Here is a 15,832-nt window from a genome sequence, read left to right on the forward strand (position 1 = left end):
CAAGTTCTCTCTGTTGGATCTGTCCTCTCCACCACAGCCAGAGTGAATTTTCTAAAACCCAAATATGGCCAGGCCACTCCCCTCCCTGAGAGTTTTCAGTGGCTTCTCTTTGACATCAAGATAAACTACAAATGCCTTGAGGTGCCTCAAAAGGTCCCCAGGTCCGATCTCTTTTCACACTCTCCCCTTGAATCTTCTGCCTCAGCCATGGAAGTGTGGGCAGCTCCCCAAGTGCACCAGCTCTCCAACACCTCCAACTCTTTGCATATACCTGTGCCTGAAATGCAACTGAAATGCAATCTCTCCTTCTCCTCCTGACTAATGCCCACACTATTCTCTTGCCCTAACTCCATAAGGAACCATTCAGTATATCTAATGTGTATCTTTCTATCTGTGTTCTGCTAAAATCTTTAAATCTTTATTCTTGGTCTTGTGTGCATGTATTTTTAATGTATATTAATAGTGCTGTGTCATATAGCACATTCTATTTCTTACTTTTTCCCACTCAGTGTTGGGTTTTATTGGTTTTTTTGTTTTTGTTTTTGTTTTTTGTTTTTTGGGTTTTTTGTTTGTTTGTTTGTTTTGAGACAGGGTCTTGCTCTGATGCCCAGGCTGGAGTGCAGTGGCCCAATCATGACTCGCTGTAGCCTCAACCTACTGGGCTCAAACTATCATCCTGCCTCAGCCTCTCAGGTAGCTGGGACTACAGGCCTGTGCCACCATACATGGCTAATTTTTTTGATTTTGTAGAGACAGGGTTTTGCTATGTTGCCCAGGCTATGTTGTCCAGGTTCGTGTTGCTGTGTTATCACCTGCTCAGTCACTTGGACCTCCCTGCAAATCCTACAGAGTAGGCACCTGCCCATGTTACCTGACTCTCCCCAAGCTTGATACTGATTGCCTCCAACTTCCTCACACTACAAATGACACTGCAGTGAACATCCTTGTCTAAGTGCTTTTCTCTATCTATATGACAATCTCTTTGGGAGAGGTTGCCTGTATTGTTCAGCTTCTGATTTTGCCCATCTAACAGGTGTAAAGTGGTAGCTGGTTTTCTGTTTGCTTGTTTTCTGCCAGTGAACATTTTATTCAAGGTATGTGTGTGGAGAGTGGTCAGGGACAAAGGAGAGTGGGAATGGCCTTTGAAATAAAATAAAATGATTTAGGTGAAGAAACTCTAGGAAAGGGTAATTTTCTCCATTTAGATCTTTTTTTTTTTTTTTTTTTTTTTTTTTTTGAGACGGAGTCTCGCTCTGTTGCCCAGGCTGGAGTGCAGTGGTGCCATCTTGGCTCACTGCAAGCTCCGCCTCCTGGGTTCACACCAGTTTCCTGCCTCAGCCTCCTGAGCAGCTAGGACTACAGGCACCCGCCACCACGCCCGGCTAATTTTTTGTATTTTTAGTAGGGACAGGGTTTCACCATGTTAGCCAGGATGGTCTCGAGCTCCTGACCTTGTCATCCACCCGCCTCGGCCTCCCAAAGTGCTGGGATTACAGGCGTGAGCCACCGCACCCGGCCTAGATCATTTTAAGAAAGAAAATGACAGATAAGGTTTCTGGTCTATGGAACTAACAAACAAGTAGACTATTAATATAATATCAGATATTAAATGCCCTGAAGACAATAAAATAAGGTAATGAGTTAGAAAGTGATGGGGAAAAGCCTTTAGATTGGATGATTGGAAGGAAGTAACATTTGAGCAGACATTGGAATGACGAACCATGAAGCGGATTTTGTTGAAGAACATTTCAGGTAGCGATAGCTATTGTTTTAATTTTCATTTCTCTGATTACTAATGAGTTAGAGCATCTCTTTATCTGGTTTTTCAAATTTTGGATTTCCTCTTGTCAATTGCCTGTTTATGTCCTTTGCCCATTTTCTTTTGAATTTGTTGCCTTTTTCTTCTTGATTTGAATATTTGCTGATATATTCTACATATAAACCCCTCATTGATTTTTTTCTTTTCTTTTTTTTTTTTTTCTGTCTCTCTCTCTCTTTTTTTTTTTTTTCTTTTGACACAGGGTCTCACTTTGTTGTCCAGGATGGTCTCAAGTGAGCCTCCCACCTTGGCCTCCATGTGCCAGGCATTGTGCCAAGCATTCTACAGGCATGAGCCACCTTGCCCAGCCTGGTTTTATATTTTCCCTTTTTGGTTTTAGACATCGCAATACCTCTGGCATTCTTTCTATTCCTCAAACACGTCAGCTCCTCTGCCCTCAGGCCTTCATCCTTGCTCCTCTCTCTGCCTGTTATGCTCCTCCCAGATATTTGCACACAGGGATTTCTTCACATTAAGCTTAGATGTCACCTCTTCCCACATACCCCTCCTCCAGGCACACGCCATTACATCATCCTGTTTTGCTAGCGCCAAGGCCCTATCACTACGATCTGGTTCACTCATTGTTTTCTTGTCTATGTCTTCCTCCATCGCCCTGAGGATAAGCTCTGGCCAGTCTCTGTTAAACCTCAGCCCCTAGTGCAGTGGCTGGCACAGGGGACGTCCTCAGGAAGCATCTGTTGAATGAATGAATAGATATGCCCCGGTCATGGGCCATGGAGTGAGGAAAAGGCAAGGCTAAGAGTGGTGTGCTTCAAGTGACACTTCAAATTAGGACAAGTTAATATTTGTTGAGTTTTTACCATGTGCCAGGCATTGTGCCAAGCACTCTATAAGGCTTATCTCATTAGTCCTGATAATAATCCTATGAGGCAGGTATTTCTATTTTCTATTTATGAGATAAGGAAAGCAAGGTAGAGAGATAAAGGAAGCTGCCCAAAGGTCTCCTTTATCCCAGTTAGAAAACGGGCTGAGAAGAAACCAGGACCCAGGGGATCTGCTCCTGAGCTGAGGCTCTTAGCCACCACACATACTGCCTCTCAAGGGGAGGAGGGAGGGGGAGAACGGCTATGGCCAGAATAGAGCACCCTTAGAATCCGAGAAGTGGGGTCCTCCCAGGGGAGGAGATGAGGGTGGGGAGCAGGGAGGGGAATGCTCTCCCCTATATGAGGCCGGTGAGGCCCAGAGAGGGTTAGTGACCAGGCCCCAAACGGGCAAGCCAAGCTCCCCAAGCTGCGGCAATTCCACTGTCCCCTTCCACTTTCACTGGGCAGAGACCGCGTGGCGCGCATTGGGCTGGGCGTGATCCTGAACCTGGCGAAGGAACGCGAACCCGTAGAGCTGGCGCGGAGCGTGGCAGGCATCTTGGAGCACATGTTCAAGCATTCGGAGGAGACATGCCAGAGGCTGGTGGCGGCCGGCGGCCTGGACGCGGTGCTGTATTGGTGCCGCCGCACGGACCCCGCGCTGCTGCGCCACTGCGCGCTGGCGCTGGGCAACTGCGCGCTGCACGGGGGCCAGGCGGTGCAGCGACGCATGGTAGAGAAGCGCGCAGCCGAGTGGCTCTTCCCGCTCGCCTTCTCCAAGGAGGACGAGCTGCTTCGGCTGCACGCCTGCCTCGCAGTAGCGGTGTTGGCGACTAACAAGGAGGTGGAGCGCGAGGTGGAGCGCTCGGGCACGCTGGCGCTCGTGGAGCCGCTTGTGGCCTCGCTGGACCCTGGCCGCTTCGCCCGCTGTCTGGTGGACGCCAGCGACACAAGCCAGGGCCGCGGGCCCGACGACCTGCAGCGCCTCGTGCCGTTGCTCGACTCTAACCGCTTGGAGGCGCAGTGCATCGGGGCTTTCTACCTCTGCGCCGAGGCTGCCATCAAGAGCCTGCAAGGCAAGACCAAGGTGGGTGCAGATGTGGGGTTGGGTGGATCAGGGGTTAGAGAGCCTTTGGGAAGGTTTCCCAGAGGAAGTCACATTCAACCGGGTCTTGAAATACACATCAGAATTAGATGAAGCAAGACAAAGGAGGAGCGGGCCAGTCATTTTGGCGTTGAAGGCAAACCCGAAGTTTGGACTTGGTTTTGGGGGCAAGAGGAAGACACTAAGAAGCTTTTAAGCAAGGGGACACTTGTGTTTTACAAAGATCATCCTAGCTGCTGTGTGGAAAGGGGCTTGGCAAGGGTGAGGACGGAGGCAAGGCAACCCAATAAAAAACTATGACTTGCAGGGGTGGGCGTTGGGGGAAGGGGGAGACAGCGATGCCAGTGGCAGAGAGCAGATTCAAGAGATGTTTAAGAGATGGAGTTAGCACTTGGTGGCTGGGAGAAGGAGAAAGAGGAGCTGAGGATGACTCCTGGCCCTGAACATAGGCAATGAATAAAGTGAACTGGGTGAGAGACAAGTGGAAGTGGGGAAGGGGAAGAAAGTGACTTCTGCAGGACATATGGAGTTTGAGATGCCTGAGAGATGCCCAGCTGGGGAGCTTCAGTGGGTAGTGTAGCCTTTTGAGTCTGGAGTCAAGATGGCTGTTAGAGACAGAGGCTTGCGGCTTGGGACAGGACATCAGTGTGTCAGCCAGATAACCCCCATCGGAGTCCCAAGGGGTCCTCATGTCCAGGGCCTAATCCACCAGTGACCTTTGCCCACTGCTTTAACTTGCTGTGTGACCTTGAGCACCTGGCTTCCCCTCTCTAGGCCTCTATCTGGGCCTCATTTTTATCTTCTGGAAAATTCAGTAAATTGGACCACAGCAGCAGTTCTTACCCTAGATGTGGGATAGTTTTAGCACCACAAGTTTGTGGATTGTACTTTTTGGAAACAGAGATCTACTATATTGCCTAGGCTGGCATCAAACTCTCAGGCTCCAAGCGATCCTCTCTGCCTCAGCCTCCCAAGTAGCTGGGACTACAAGCACGCACCACAATCCCCCAGCTGGGCTTTGTTTTTAAAATGTTACAGGTTGAAGATTCTCCCTACAATATCACTCTCTCTTCTTTGCATTTTTTTGTGGAGGCTTGGAGGTTGGTGATAGCTGGTGCACAGAGATGTGGTGCATACCCCATGACCCACCTTGTCTGTACCCCAGCTGTCATCTGGGGGTGCTCAAAGGAGTGTGTCTTACAGATGATTGTCACCCATCATGTATGTCCCTGCAGATCAAAAAGAGACTGCTGGCTGGGTGAGGTGGTTCATGCCTGTAATCCCAGCACTTTGGGAGGCCGAGGCAGGTGGATCACTTGAGGTCAGGAGTTCAAGACCAGCCTGGACAACATGGTGAAACTCTGTCCCTACTAAAAATACAAAAATTAGCTGGGCATGGTGGCAGGTGCCTGTAATCCCAGCTACTCGGGAGGCTGAGGCAGAAGAATCACAGGAACCTGGGAGGCAGAGGTTACAGTGAGCTGGAATCGCACCACTGCACTCCAGCCTGGGCTACAAAGTGAGGCTCCATCTCAAAAAAGAAAAAGAAAAAGGAGACTGCTATGTTAGGGGGGTCTCTGGGGCCTCTTTCAACATCCAGTGTTCTAGGAACTTCTGATTCTTCTCTCTGCACTCCAGAGCTGGGTCAGGGAGGACCTGCTCTACAAGGCAGGTCATTTTGCTTAGGGAAAAGGGTCTTAAAGGAAGTAGGGAGTGAGGACCCCAAGGATTGGATCTGGGCCGCAACCATGATCACCAGCCTGTCACCCCTTTCCCATCGAGGCCAAGTGAGTGTAGTTCAACAAAGACATCTCGAGTCCCACTCTGTGTCCTTCATCGTGCCAGATGCAGGTTTCCAGTAGTGACTAAGACATGTCCTCAGCTTATACTCCAGTGGAAGTTGCATCGTCAACCAGTGACAGTGGCATTCAGAGTGTGGTATAAGACCTCATTGGAGGTGTGGGCCAGGATGTGGGGGAATCAAAGCAGGCTGCATGAAGGAGGTGCTAATCAATTTGGATTCTGGTGGATGAGTAGGATTTCCGTGGAGTGGGAGGATTCCCATGAGCAGACTGGAAGAACTAAGGGTTTGGAAACATAGTGGGCCAAGACCCAGAGGTGTGAAAGCCTTGGAATGTGTGCATGTGCGTGTGTGTGTGAAGTGTAAGTTAGTGGAAGGTGAGGTGAACTGGGAGTGATGGGCAGCTGCACTGTGCCCTGCCTGGCGCTATGCTGAGAGCTCAACTTTATTCCAGGGCCGGTGGATGCTGTAGAAGGGATATAAAGGAGGGATAGGCCCCTCCGCCCCCAACCCATCCGAGTCAGGACCTGGTCAAGAATTGAGAGAACTTCAGGAGGGGGAATCCGCAGGACCCCATGACTTAGTGGCTGAAGGTGGGGCCAGGGCAGATGGAGAGACTTTGGGTTGTGAGAAGAGACAAGGAGAGGGACTGGGCACGTGTGGGAGCACCTGGAGAGCTGGTGGGACCTACAGCCCTCTCCCCACTCCCTCCCTAGGTGTTCAGCGACATCGGCGCCATCCAGAGCCTGAAACGCCTGGTTTCCTACTCTACCAATGGCACTAAGTCGGCGCTGGCCAAGCGCGCGCTGCGCCTGCTGGGCGAGGAGGTGCCACGGCCCATCCTGCCCTCCGTGCCCAGCTGGAAGGAGGCCGAGGTTCAGACGTGGCTGCAGCAGATCGGTTTCTCCAAGTACTGCGAGAGCTTCCGGGTAGAGTCGCGTGGGATACGCCTCCCCCGAGTCAGAGCGGGCGCCCTGTGCACAGGGACTGCGTTCCCTCCCCGCCTCGCAATCCCGCGGCGCCAGGGTCGCTTTTGGGGGCGGGGAGCCTGTACGCAGCCACCGTTAGGGTCACTCGGCTCTGATCTAGGTCCCATCCGCCTCCTCCACGCCATCTCCAGTTCCTTCCCTTGCATCTTGTGCTCGAGGTCCAAGGGCGGAGTAGCGAAGCCCTTCCTGACACCCGACTCCTCCCCCAGGAGCAGCAGGTGGATGGCGACCTGCTTCTGCGGCTCACGGAGGAGGAACTCCAGACCGACCTGGGCATGAAATCGGGCATCACCCGCAAGAGGTACGGAGCCTCCTGCCCGCCGGACCCCAGCTAGGTCTAAATAAGCTCCCCCTCCGCCCACAGCCCGTCCGAGTCTGGACCTCAGCGTCTTCTCCTCCGTGGGGTGCAGGTTCTTTAGGGAGCTCACGGAGCTCAAGACCTTCGCCAACTATTCTACGTGCGACCGCAGCAACCTGGCGGACTGGCTGGGCAGCCTGGACCCGCGCTTCCGCCAGTACACCTACGGCCTGGTCAGCTGCGGCCTGGACCGCTCCCTGCTGCACCGCGTGTCTGAGCAGCAGCTGCTGGAAGACTGCGGCATCCACCTGGGCGTGCACCGCGCCCGCATCCTCACGGCGGCCAGAGGTCAGCCCGCTCACCCGGGACCCCGCCCCAGCCCCAGCCCCAGCCACGGCCCTGGAATGGTGAGGGGAGACACGGGGTGGAGCCTTCCAGCCTCGCCGTGGATTGATTGAGCACAAACGTGGGTCACACTGGGCTCTGAGGATGTAAAGATGAATACGTTGCACTTTACCTCAAGAAGTTCCCAGTCTGAGGTGGGTAGGCGGTGGGAGGAAGGAGGCTATTAAACAGGCAAGCGGCCCCGGCAGGAAGCTACCCAGGTCTCCAGTGGGAGCACAGAGGAAGCCCAGCCCACCCCATCCACCCAGGTCTAGATTTCAGAGAGGACAGGATGCCTGACCATGTCTTGAGAGGTGCACTGGCGGGGAGGGGTGGCAACAGGAAGGGCAGCCCAGGCAGAGGCAGCGGCCTATGGAGAGTCCATGCAGTGGGGTGTAGGCGGGAAGGGTGTGCGTATGTGTGTTATCCTATTGGCCAACAGCTTACAAAATTTGGGTCTAGAGGTGGTTTAGAGTGAATTCTAGGCCTCTAGCCACCCTCCTTATTTACTAATTTATTTTTACTTACTAATTTACTACTTAGCTAATCTTTATTGTCAATTACAAGGTACTCTGTTTGGTTTTTAAGATATTATCCCATCAGTCTCTATATTGATTCTATGCAATGAGTGTTCAGTTTTTAAAATCAACCTTAAAGAACTCTTGAAAGAATAAAAAGAGGAGTAAGTGTCCAGTTTGAGGGCCGGGCACCGTGGCTCATGCCTGTAATTCTAGGACTTTGGGAGGCCAAGGCAGGCGGATCGCTCAAGTCCAGGAGTTTGAGACCAACCTGGGCAACATGGTGAAAGCCCATCTCCACTAAAAGCACAAAAAAATACAAAAAATTAGCTAGGTGTGGTGGCGCATACCTGTAGTCCCAGCTACTTGGGAGGCTGAGGTGGGAGGATCACCTGAGCCCAGGAAGTTAAGGCCGCAGTGAACTGTGATCAGGTCACTACACTCCATCCAGCCTAGGCAGCAGGAGTGAGACCCTATCTCAAAAAAGAAAAAAAGTATCAGTTTGAGGAGTTTTGAAAGACATCTGTGTGACCCCCCACCCCCACCATCATCATTAAAGATATAGAATATTTCCATCATGGGTGTTCCTTTTAAAGATAATGAAACTAACATTTAAAGAATTCAAATACATTTCCCACAGTCATAAAAGTCATTAGATGGCAAAACTGGGACTTGAGCCCTTGTCTTTCTGCTTCATAAACAAACAAATGTTGTCTATGAGGGTTATGTCTAAATATTATAAGAAGATGAATTCTTTTCATTTTATCCTTTCATTCAGCAATTACAGACTAAGCACCCACAAGACACAAGGGACTGAGCTTTGGCTGCATTCTTATGCTTCAACCAAAGCAGGTTGGCTTTTATTATTTTTACATTGCAGCTCCCATTAAAACTTCAAGATTTCATTTTTATTATAATTAATTAATTTGAGACAAGGTCTCATTCTGTCACCTAGGCTGGAGTGCAGTGGCGCAATCACAACCCACTGAAGCCTCAACCTCCCGGGCTCAAGTGATTCTCCCACCTCACCTCCCAAGTAGCTGGGACCACAGGTGCGCAACACCACACCCAGCTAATTTTTTTATTTTTTGTGGAGACAGGGTTTCACTATGTTGCCCAGGCTGTTCTCAAACTCCTGGCCTCAAGCAATCTTCCCAACTTAGCCTCCCAAAGTGTTGAGATTACGGGCGTGGGCCACCGCACCCAGCGCAAGATTTCATTTTTAAACAACAGGAAAATCCTAGGGCAAAAATAGCTTACAAAAAATAGTTTGTATAGTGAGTAGGGAGCCATGCATAGTTTTTAAGTGGGAGGAATGACATGCTCAGATTTGGATTTTAGAAAGATGTTCTGGTAGCTGTGGCAAATGGACTACACTGGGCAATTCTTTTCTTTTCTTTTCTTTTCTTTTTTTTTTTTTTTAGTCAGAGTCTCACTCTGTCGCCCAGGCTAGAGTGCGGTGGTGCATTCTTGGCTCACTGCAACCTCTGCCTCCTGGGTTCAAGTGATTCTCGTGCCTCAGCCTCCCAAGTAGCTAGATTACAGACATGTGCCACCATGCCTGGATAATTTTTTGTAAAGACAGGGTTTCACCATATTGGCCAGGCTGGTCTCGAACTCCTGGCCTCAAGTGATCCACCCACCTTGGCCCCCCACAGTGCTGGGATTACAGGTGTGGGCCACTGCCCTGGCCTAGACTGGGCAATTCTAGCTGGGTTTGGGGAGGCCATTGAGGAGGCTGGCATTGGAAACCTGAGCCAGGGAAGGGCCCGGAGGCTGGAGTCCAGTATGTTTAGTAGGTAGAATCCTCAGAATGCGGTGCCTGGCGCTTAGTACTGAGCGTGGCTCCAGAGGAGCAGAGTGCTGTCTGTTTTACTCACTGCTGAATCTCAAGCACTGAAGACAGTCCTGGCACACAGCAAGTGCTTAGGATGTATTTGTTGAATAAATTAAATGGGAGGCAGGAGTTGAGGCTGATACCCAGGTGTCTGGCTTTGGTGGGAAATAGGGAAGAAGGAATGAGGGGGAGATTTGGGGTGTGTTGAATTTGGAGTGATTGTGGGCAGCTGGCTGTTCAGGTCTGGAGTTCCAGAGAGAGGTCAGGGCTGGAAGTGCATGCATATCAATGTCCCTAGAACACAGTGCCTGCCTCCTAAGAGGAACCCAACAATAACATGACCTTCCTCCTGGAGGCCCCATTTCTCCTTTTTGGGGCAGGCCACCCTCCCCAGGCTGGGCTGAGAGGGCTTGGTGGACTGGGGACTAAGTCCACAAGGGATGATATACCTGACAGTGAGTGATGCGGAGGGGCCACCTTCACCATGCTGCCTATTGCCCACTTCAGAAATGCTACACTCCCCGCTGCCCTGTACTGGTGGCAAACCCAGTGGGGACACTCCAGATGTCTTCATCAGCTACCGCCGGAACTCAGGTTCCCAGCTGGCCAGGTGAGGAGGGGCGGGCGGGCAGCGACGGGGCGTGGGGACAAGGCTGTGGCACTGACACAGGACTTACTTGCAGTCTCCTGAAGGTGCACCTGCAGCTGCATGGCTTCAGTGTCTTCATTGATGTGGAGAAGCTGGAAGCAGGCAAGTTCGAGGACAAACTCATCCAGAGTGTCATGGGTGCCCGCAACTTTGTGTTGGTGCTATCACCTGGAGCACTGGACAAGTGCATGCAAGACCATGACTGCAAGGATTGGGTGCATAAGGTAGGTGCCTGCCTATGCTTCTGCGGTCCCAGCATTGGCCTGTGGTCCAGAAGATAGGGTCGTCTTCTATTCCTTCTTGTCTGCACATCCCGGCACACTTAGCCCTGAAGCACCTCCTTGGCCCAGCTGGAAGTCAGGAACCACAGCTCTGACTGTAATAGGACTTTAGCAAACCACAAGGGACAAGAGACTAGGCTTTGGCTCTCTGAGCCTCAGTTTTCTTTTTCTTTTTTTTTTTTTTTTGTTTTTGAGGTAGAGTCTCGCTCTGTCACTCAGGCTGGAGTGCAATGGCGTGATCTTGGCTCACTGCAAGCTCCACCTCCCGGGTTCACACCATTCTCCTCCCTCAGCCTCCCGAGTAGCTGGGACTACAGGTGCCCGCCACCACGGCTGGCTAATTTTTTTGTATTTTTAGTAGAGACAGGGTTTCACCGTGTTAGCCAGGATGTGAGCCTCAGTTTTCTTTTCTGCAAAATGGGGTAACTTACCTGTTCCACTCACCTTATAGAACTGTTGTGAGGATCAGAGAGACATAAAAATGCTTTGAAAAATAAATTCCATGAGAGACAGGAGAGCATAGCGACAGGCAGAATGGAATAGTTGTTGAGAGCTCAAAACTGAGAGTTTGAATCCTGGCTCTGGCCTTGGGCAAGTTACTTAACCCCGATAAGCTTCATATTTATTTCTGGAAAGAGGGTATAATAATAGTATCTAACTCCCTAGAACATTGTTATAAGGACTAAAAAAGCCAAAATTTGTGAAGTGCTTAGCAGAATGGCTGGCACATAGTAACTGCTCAATAATGGTAGCAATTATTATTATTAATATAATTATTATAACTACTATATCTGTTTAATTCATCATTGTATTTTCAGTGCCTGACGCATTGTAGGAACTTATTGAATACTAACAGAATGCATTGATGGATAGCTCCATATTGCATCTTCAGGTTATTAATCATTAATCGGTCAGTAGGAATTGGAGTTGGGGCTGAGGGATGCAGTAGTCATCTAAGAGACAGGATGAGACAAGCAGTCAGCTCAGAGACAAGAATATGCCCAGAGGGCTGGGCACAGTGGTTCACACCCGTAATCCCAGCACTTTGGGAGGCTGAGGCAGGAGGATCACTTGAGGTCAGGAGTTCGAGACCAGCCTGGGCAACATGGTGAAACCTTGTCTCTACTAAAAAAATACAAAAATTAGCCAGGCATGGTGGCGCACACCTGTAATCCCAGCTACTCAGGAGACTGAGGCAGGGGAATCGCTTGGGCCCAGAAGACGGAGATCACACCACTGCACTCCAGCTTGGGCAACAGAGTGGGACCCTGTCTCAAAATGACTAGATCGCATACAAGTTGGTGTAAATGCTGAGCCAGGTAAGCAAACATCTTGCTTGCCACAGGGGTTTGGAGAAGGGAGAGAGCATCAAGGTGTCAACGAAAAGAGTCAGACTCTATGAGCGACCATGGCCTGTGACACAGCCCTCAGGAGACCCTGAGAACACGTGCCCAAGGTGATCAGGGCACAGTTTGGTTTTATACATTTTTGGGAGACACGAGACATCAATCAATACATTTAAGATGTACATTGGTTTGGTTCAGAAAGGCAGGACAGCTCAAAGCAGGGGCTTCCAGGCTATAGGTAAATTTTAAATTTTTCCAGTTGATAATTAATTGAGTTTATCTGAAGACCTGGGATCAATAGAAAGGGAATGTTTAGGTTAAGATAAAGGGTTGTGGAGACCAAGTTTTATTGTGCAGAGGAAGTTCTCAGGGCAGACTTCAGAGGGAGTAGGTTATAAAATGTTTCTTATCAGACTTATAAGGGTGCCTGGCTCTTTGTTGATTATCTCCTGAGTCCGGAAAGAAAAAGAAAAAAATGGGGGGAAGGGGATTCTCTATAGAATGTGGCCTTTTCCCACAAGAGACAAACTTGTGGAGCAATTTCAAGATATGGCAGGGAAATATATTTGGGGTTAAAATATTTTTATTTCCTCCCTTATTATGTGATGTTATGCTAGAGTCAGGTTAGAAAGCAGACCACGCTATATAGGGTTAAAATTAAAACCTCCTCCGATAAGACTTTATGGTTTGTAGGGCATGACTCCCTAGGCTCCTTAGGTAGGAATTTGGGCAAGATAAAAAAAAAAAAAATCAGAGTTTAGTCCTCAAAGGACTGGAATAATCAGGGAAGACTTCATGGAGGAAGCAGGTCTTGAGAAGAATCTTAAGAATCTGGGTAAGTGGAATAGAAGGCATCCCAGGCCAGGGTAACAGCATGAGCAAAGGAATAAAGGTAGGGAGGAGAACAGTGCTGAAAGCCCACATACATCTTGGTACTGCTTTCTCCATATCACAGATGAAGAAACTGAGGCTCAGAAAAGTAGAATAATGTTCCCCTGGCTGCACTACTAGTGTAGAAATCAGAAAAGCTAGGCTTCAAATTCCATCTATCTGACTCCAAAGCTCATCACTTTCCCAAGATCCACACTGCATTCTATGGCACAGCTCTGAGGGGGTGTGAGGGGAGGTGATGGGGTAGGGCTGGATTCGGTTGACACCAGAGATGATTGTATCTCTTCACAACTCCACATCCAGTGATGTCATGTTGGTAGCTTGTCATCAGCCATGGTGGGAGTATTTACACCAAGGAAATTGGCAACCACTACAAATCAAAGTTTTGTTAGTTTGGTTGATTGGCTGGTTGGGTTTTCTTCCCCCATGAATAGCTAGTTACTATAAAGTTAGCAGCACACCACTGGCTGGATAAGAACCATGGAAACCAGGTAAAGCAGTGTCTAAAGGCAGGAGAAGACCTGTGCTTAAAGCACTGGAAATCAAGGAGCCCATGAAGGAGAAGATGCCAGGGCGGTGGGTCTTAGGATGAAGGCTCTGACACTGGAATGCAGTCCACATGGAGTGTGGAGTCAAGCCCCAGAGGCCATGTAGGAGGGGCTGAGTACTAGGCCTGGTTTGGGGAGGGGCACTGGGGCAGTTGAGCATCCAGGAAGAACATGGCTGATAACCCAGAGCACGTGGCAGGCAGCCTTTTGAGAGAAAGAAAAGAGTGTCTGTGAGCTCCATGAGACTTCAGACCTTGCCTCATTCATCTGTGTCCCTGGTGCCTAAAACCATGCATGGTACAAAGGAGGCTCTATGCAATTGCACCAAAAAAAAAAAAAAAAAAAAAGAGAGAGAGAGAGAGGCTGAGGCTGTAGAGGAGTTTATAGAACAATTGAATCAATGATTAAGCAGACAAGTGATACTGATGAAGCTGAGATGCCATGCCTGGGAGAGCCATACATATCTAGTAGATTTACCAGGTTAGAGGACTTGACTCCGTTTTTTTTTTTTTTTTTCCAGTAGAGATAGGGTTTCGCTATGTCACCCAGGCTGGTCCCGAACTCCTGAGCTCAAGCCTGGAGTTCAGTGCCTGCCTCGGCTCCCCAAAGTTCTGGGATTAGAGGCATGAGCCACCGTGCCCAGCCAGAGGACTTGACTCTAATTGTTTTCGTTCTCAACCAGCTAGGTGATCCTGAACAAACCATTATCCCTTTCTTTTATTTATTTAATTATTTTTTTTTTTTTGAGGCACAGTCTTGCTCTATCACCAGGTTGGAGTGCAGTGGTGAGATCTTGGTCGGCTCACTGCAACCTCCGCCTCCCGGGTTCAAGTGATTCCCCTGCCTCAGCCTCCTGAGTAGCTGGGACTACAGGCACACGCCACCATATCCAGCTAATTTATATATATATATTTTTAGTAGAGACGGGGTTTCACCATCTTGGCCAAGATGGTCTCGATCTCCTGACCTCGTGATCCGCCCGCCTTGGCCTCCCAAAGTGCTGGGATTACAGACATGAGCCACCACACACGGCCGCCATTATCCCTTTCTTGGCCAGCCTCTGAATCTGTGCGATGAATAATTTGTACTGTCTTTGGTTTTGTATAATTCTGGATGAAACAAATTTCTAAAAATTTCCAAATAAATTGCTGCAGGCTCAGGATTCATTCCAATGCTCAGCAGAAAGGCAGCAGGGCTTGGCTGAAACAGCCTGGACTTGGACTCTCGAGGCTTGAGTCAGAGGACCGGCCCCTCGTGGGCTGGGCGTGTGTGTGGCTTAGGAGGAAATCCCTTCCTCTCTGGGCTTTTTTCTCTCCATCTGTAAAATGGAGCGGCTCCCCAGGAAGCCAGTCAAGGACGAAGTTACGCATGTTCTTTCCCCAGGAAGGCTCCACTTCCCAAGAATGCTTGGCACCCCTTGTCGTCCCAGCAGATGGCAAAGAGGTGAGAGGAGCCTTTGTCTTGGACCGGCCCCAGAGGCTCCGTCATCCCTCTTTGGTTGTTTCTGGTGCTTAATTGCCTCTGGTTTTAAAACTCCTTTCCCTGAAGCCACATTAGTGGGTAATCAATAGGGAAAAACCACAAGTGAACTGCACTCAAAAAAGTAAAATCCCTTTGGTTCCCTCTTGAGAGGAAGAAAAACATTCAATAAGCACTTAATGGAACCCGATTACTAGCAAATAATTCCTCAGAACAACGCTTTGAGGTAGGTTTTATTATCCCCACTTTACAGAAGAGGAAATAATAACACCTATTACGTATTAAGCATACACTGCATGCAAAGCACTGTTCTAATTACTTGCCATGGAATGTTGCGCTTATTCCATGGAACAATCCTGAAGACAGGGACTATCATTAATCCTGCTTTATATATTAGAAAACAGAGGAACGAGTGTGGTAGTGCAGGCCTGTGATCCCAACACTTTGGGATGCTAAGGTGGGAGGATCACTTGAGGCCAGGAGTTTGAGACCAGCCTGGGCAACATGGTGAAACCCCATCTCTACTAAAAAATACAAAAAATTAGCCGGACATGGTGGCACACGCCTGTGGTCCCAGCTACTTGGGAGGCTGAGGTGGGAGGATGGCTTGAGCCCAGGAGGTTGAGGCTGCAGTGAGCCTTGATGGTGCCACTGCCCTCCAGCCTGGGCAAAAAGTGAGATCCTGTTCCCCTGCCCCCCGCCAAAAAAAAAAAAGAAAGAAAGAAAAGAGAAAACAGAGACTTTGAGAACCTATTATTTTTGCCTCAGGTCGTAGAGCCTGTGTCAGAGACTCAGTGCAAACCCCGATTTGATGATTCCAGAGTGCAGCCCTAACTGCTGTGCTATGTTTTCTCATTCATTCATTCATCCATCTATTAAATATTTAGCAAGGGCTAACTATAAGGGCTTTGTGAAAGATGCTGAGATATAAGGTCAGTGAAAAATAGATATGATCCCTCCTCATGTCTGGCAGAGAAGACAAATACTGAGTAATTTACCCATTAATTAATTAAAATTTGCAACTATAATATGTTCTGCAGAGCCTATAATAGGGGAACTGACT

General features: G+C 49.3%; 1 protein-coding gene across 1 annotated transcript in view, besides 2 other annotated features; it reads left to right on the forward strand.

The window, feature by feature from the left end:
- The window catches only part of SARM1 (sterile alpha and TIR motif containing 1), a 32,356-nt gene that overhangs the window by 6,398 nt on the left and 10,126 nt on the right, over window positions 1–15,832 (forward strand). The window contains exons 2-7 of the mRNA NM_015077.4: window positions 3,112–3,730; window positions 6,266–6,478; window positions 6,748–6,839; window positions 6,949–7,184; window positions 10,083–10,185; window positions 10,259–10,448. Of these exons, the coding sequence (NP_055892.2) occupies window positions 3,112–3,730; window positions 6,266–6,478; window positions 6,748–6,839; window positions 6,949–7,184; window positions 10,083–10,185; window positions 10,259–10,448 (1,453 nt within the window). The remainder of the gene's footprint in view (window positions 1–3,111; window positions 3,731–6,265; window positions 6,479–6,747; window positions 6,840–6,948; window positions 7,185–10,082; window positions 10,186–10,258; window positions 10,449–15,832) is intronic.
- Window positions 1,965–2,165: a silencer, noted in NCBI's record as "peak2778 fragment used in MPRA reporter construct". NCBI's record gives its function as "represses an SCP1 promoter by STARR-seq MPRAs in K562 erythroleukemia cells {active_cell/tissue: K562}" and the evidence as "EXISTENCE:reporter gene assay evidence [ECO:0000049][PMID:32103011]".
- Window positions 6,856–6,925: an enhancer, noted in NCBI's record as "active region_11925". NCBI's record gives its function as "activates an Ori minimal core promoter by ATAC-STARR-seq in GM12878 lymphoblastoid cells {active_cell/tissue: GM12878}" and the evidence as "EXISTENCE:reporter gene assay evidence [ECO:0000049][PMID:35858748]".

The sequence above is a fragment of the Homo sapiens genome, chromosome 17 (genome assembly GCF_000001405.40).
Source record: "Homo sapiens chromosome 17, GRCh38.p14 Primary Assembly".
Taxonomy (NCBI): Eukaryota; Metazoa; Chordata; class Mammalia; order Primates; family Hominidae; genus Homo; species Homo sapiens.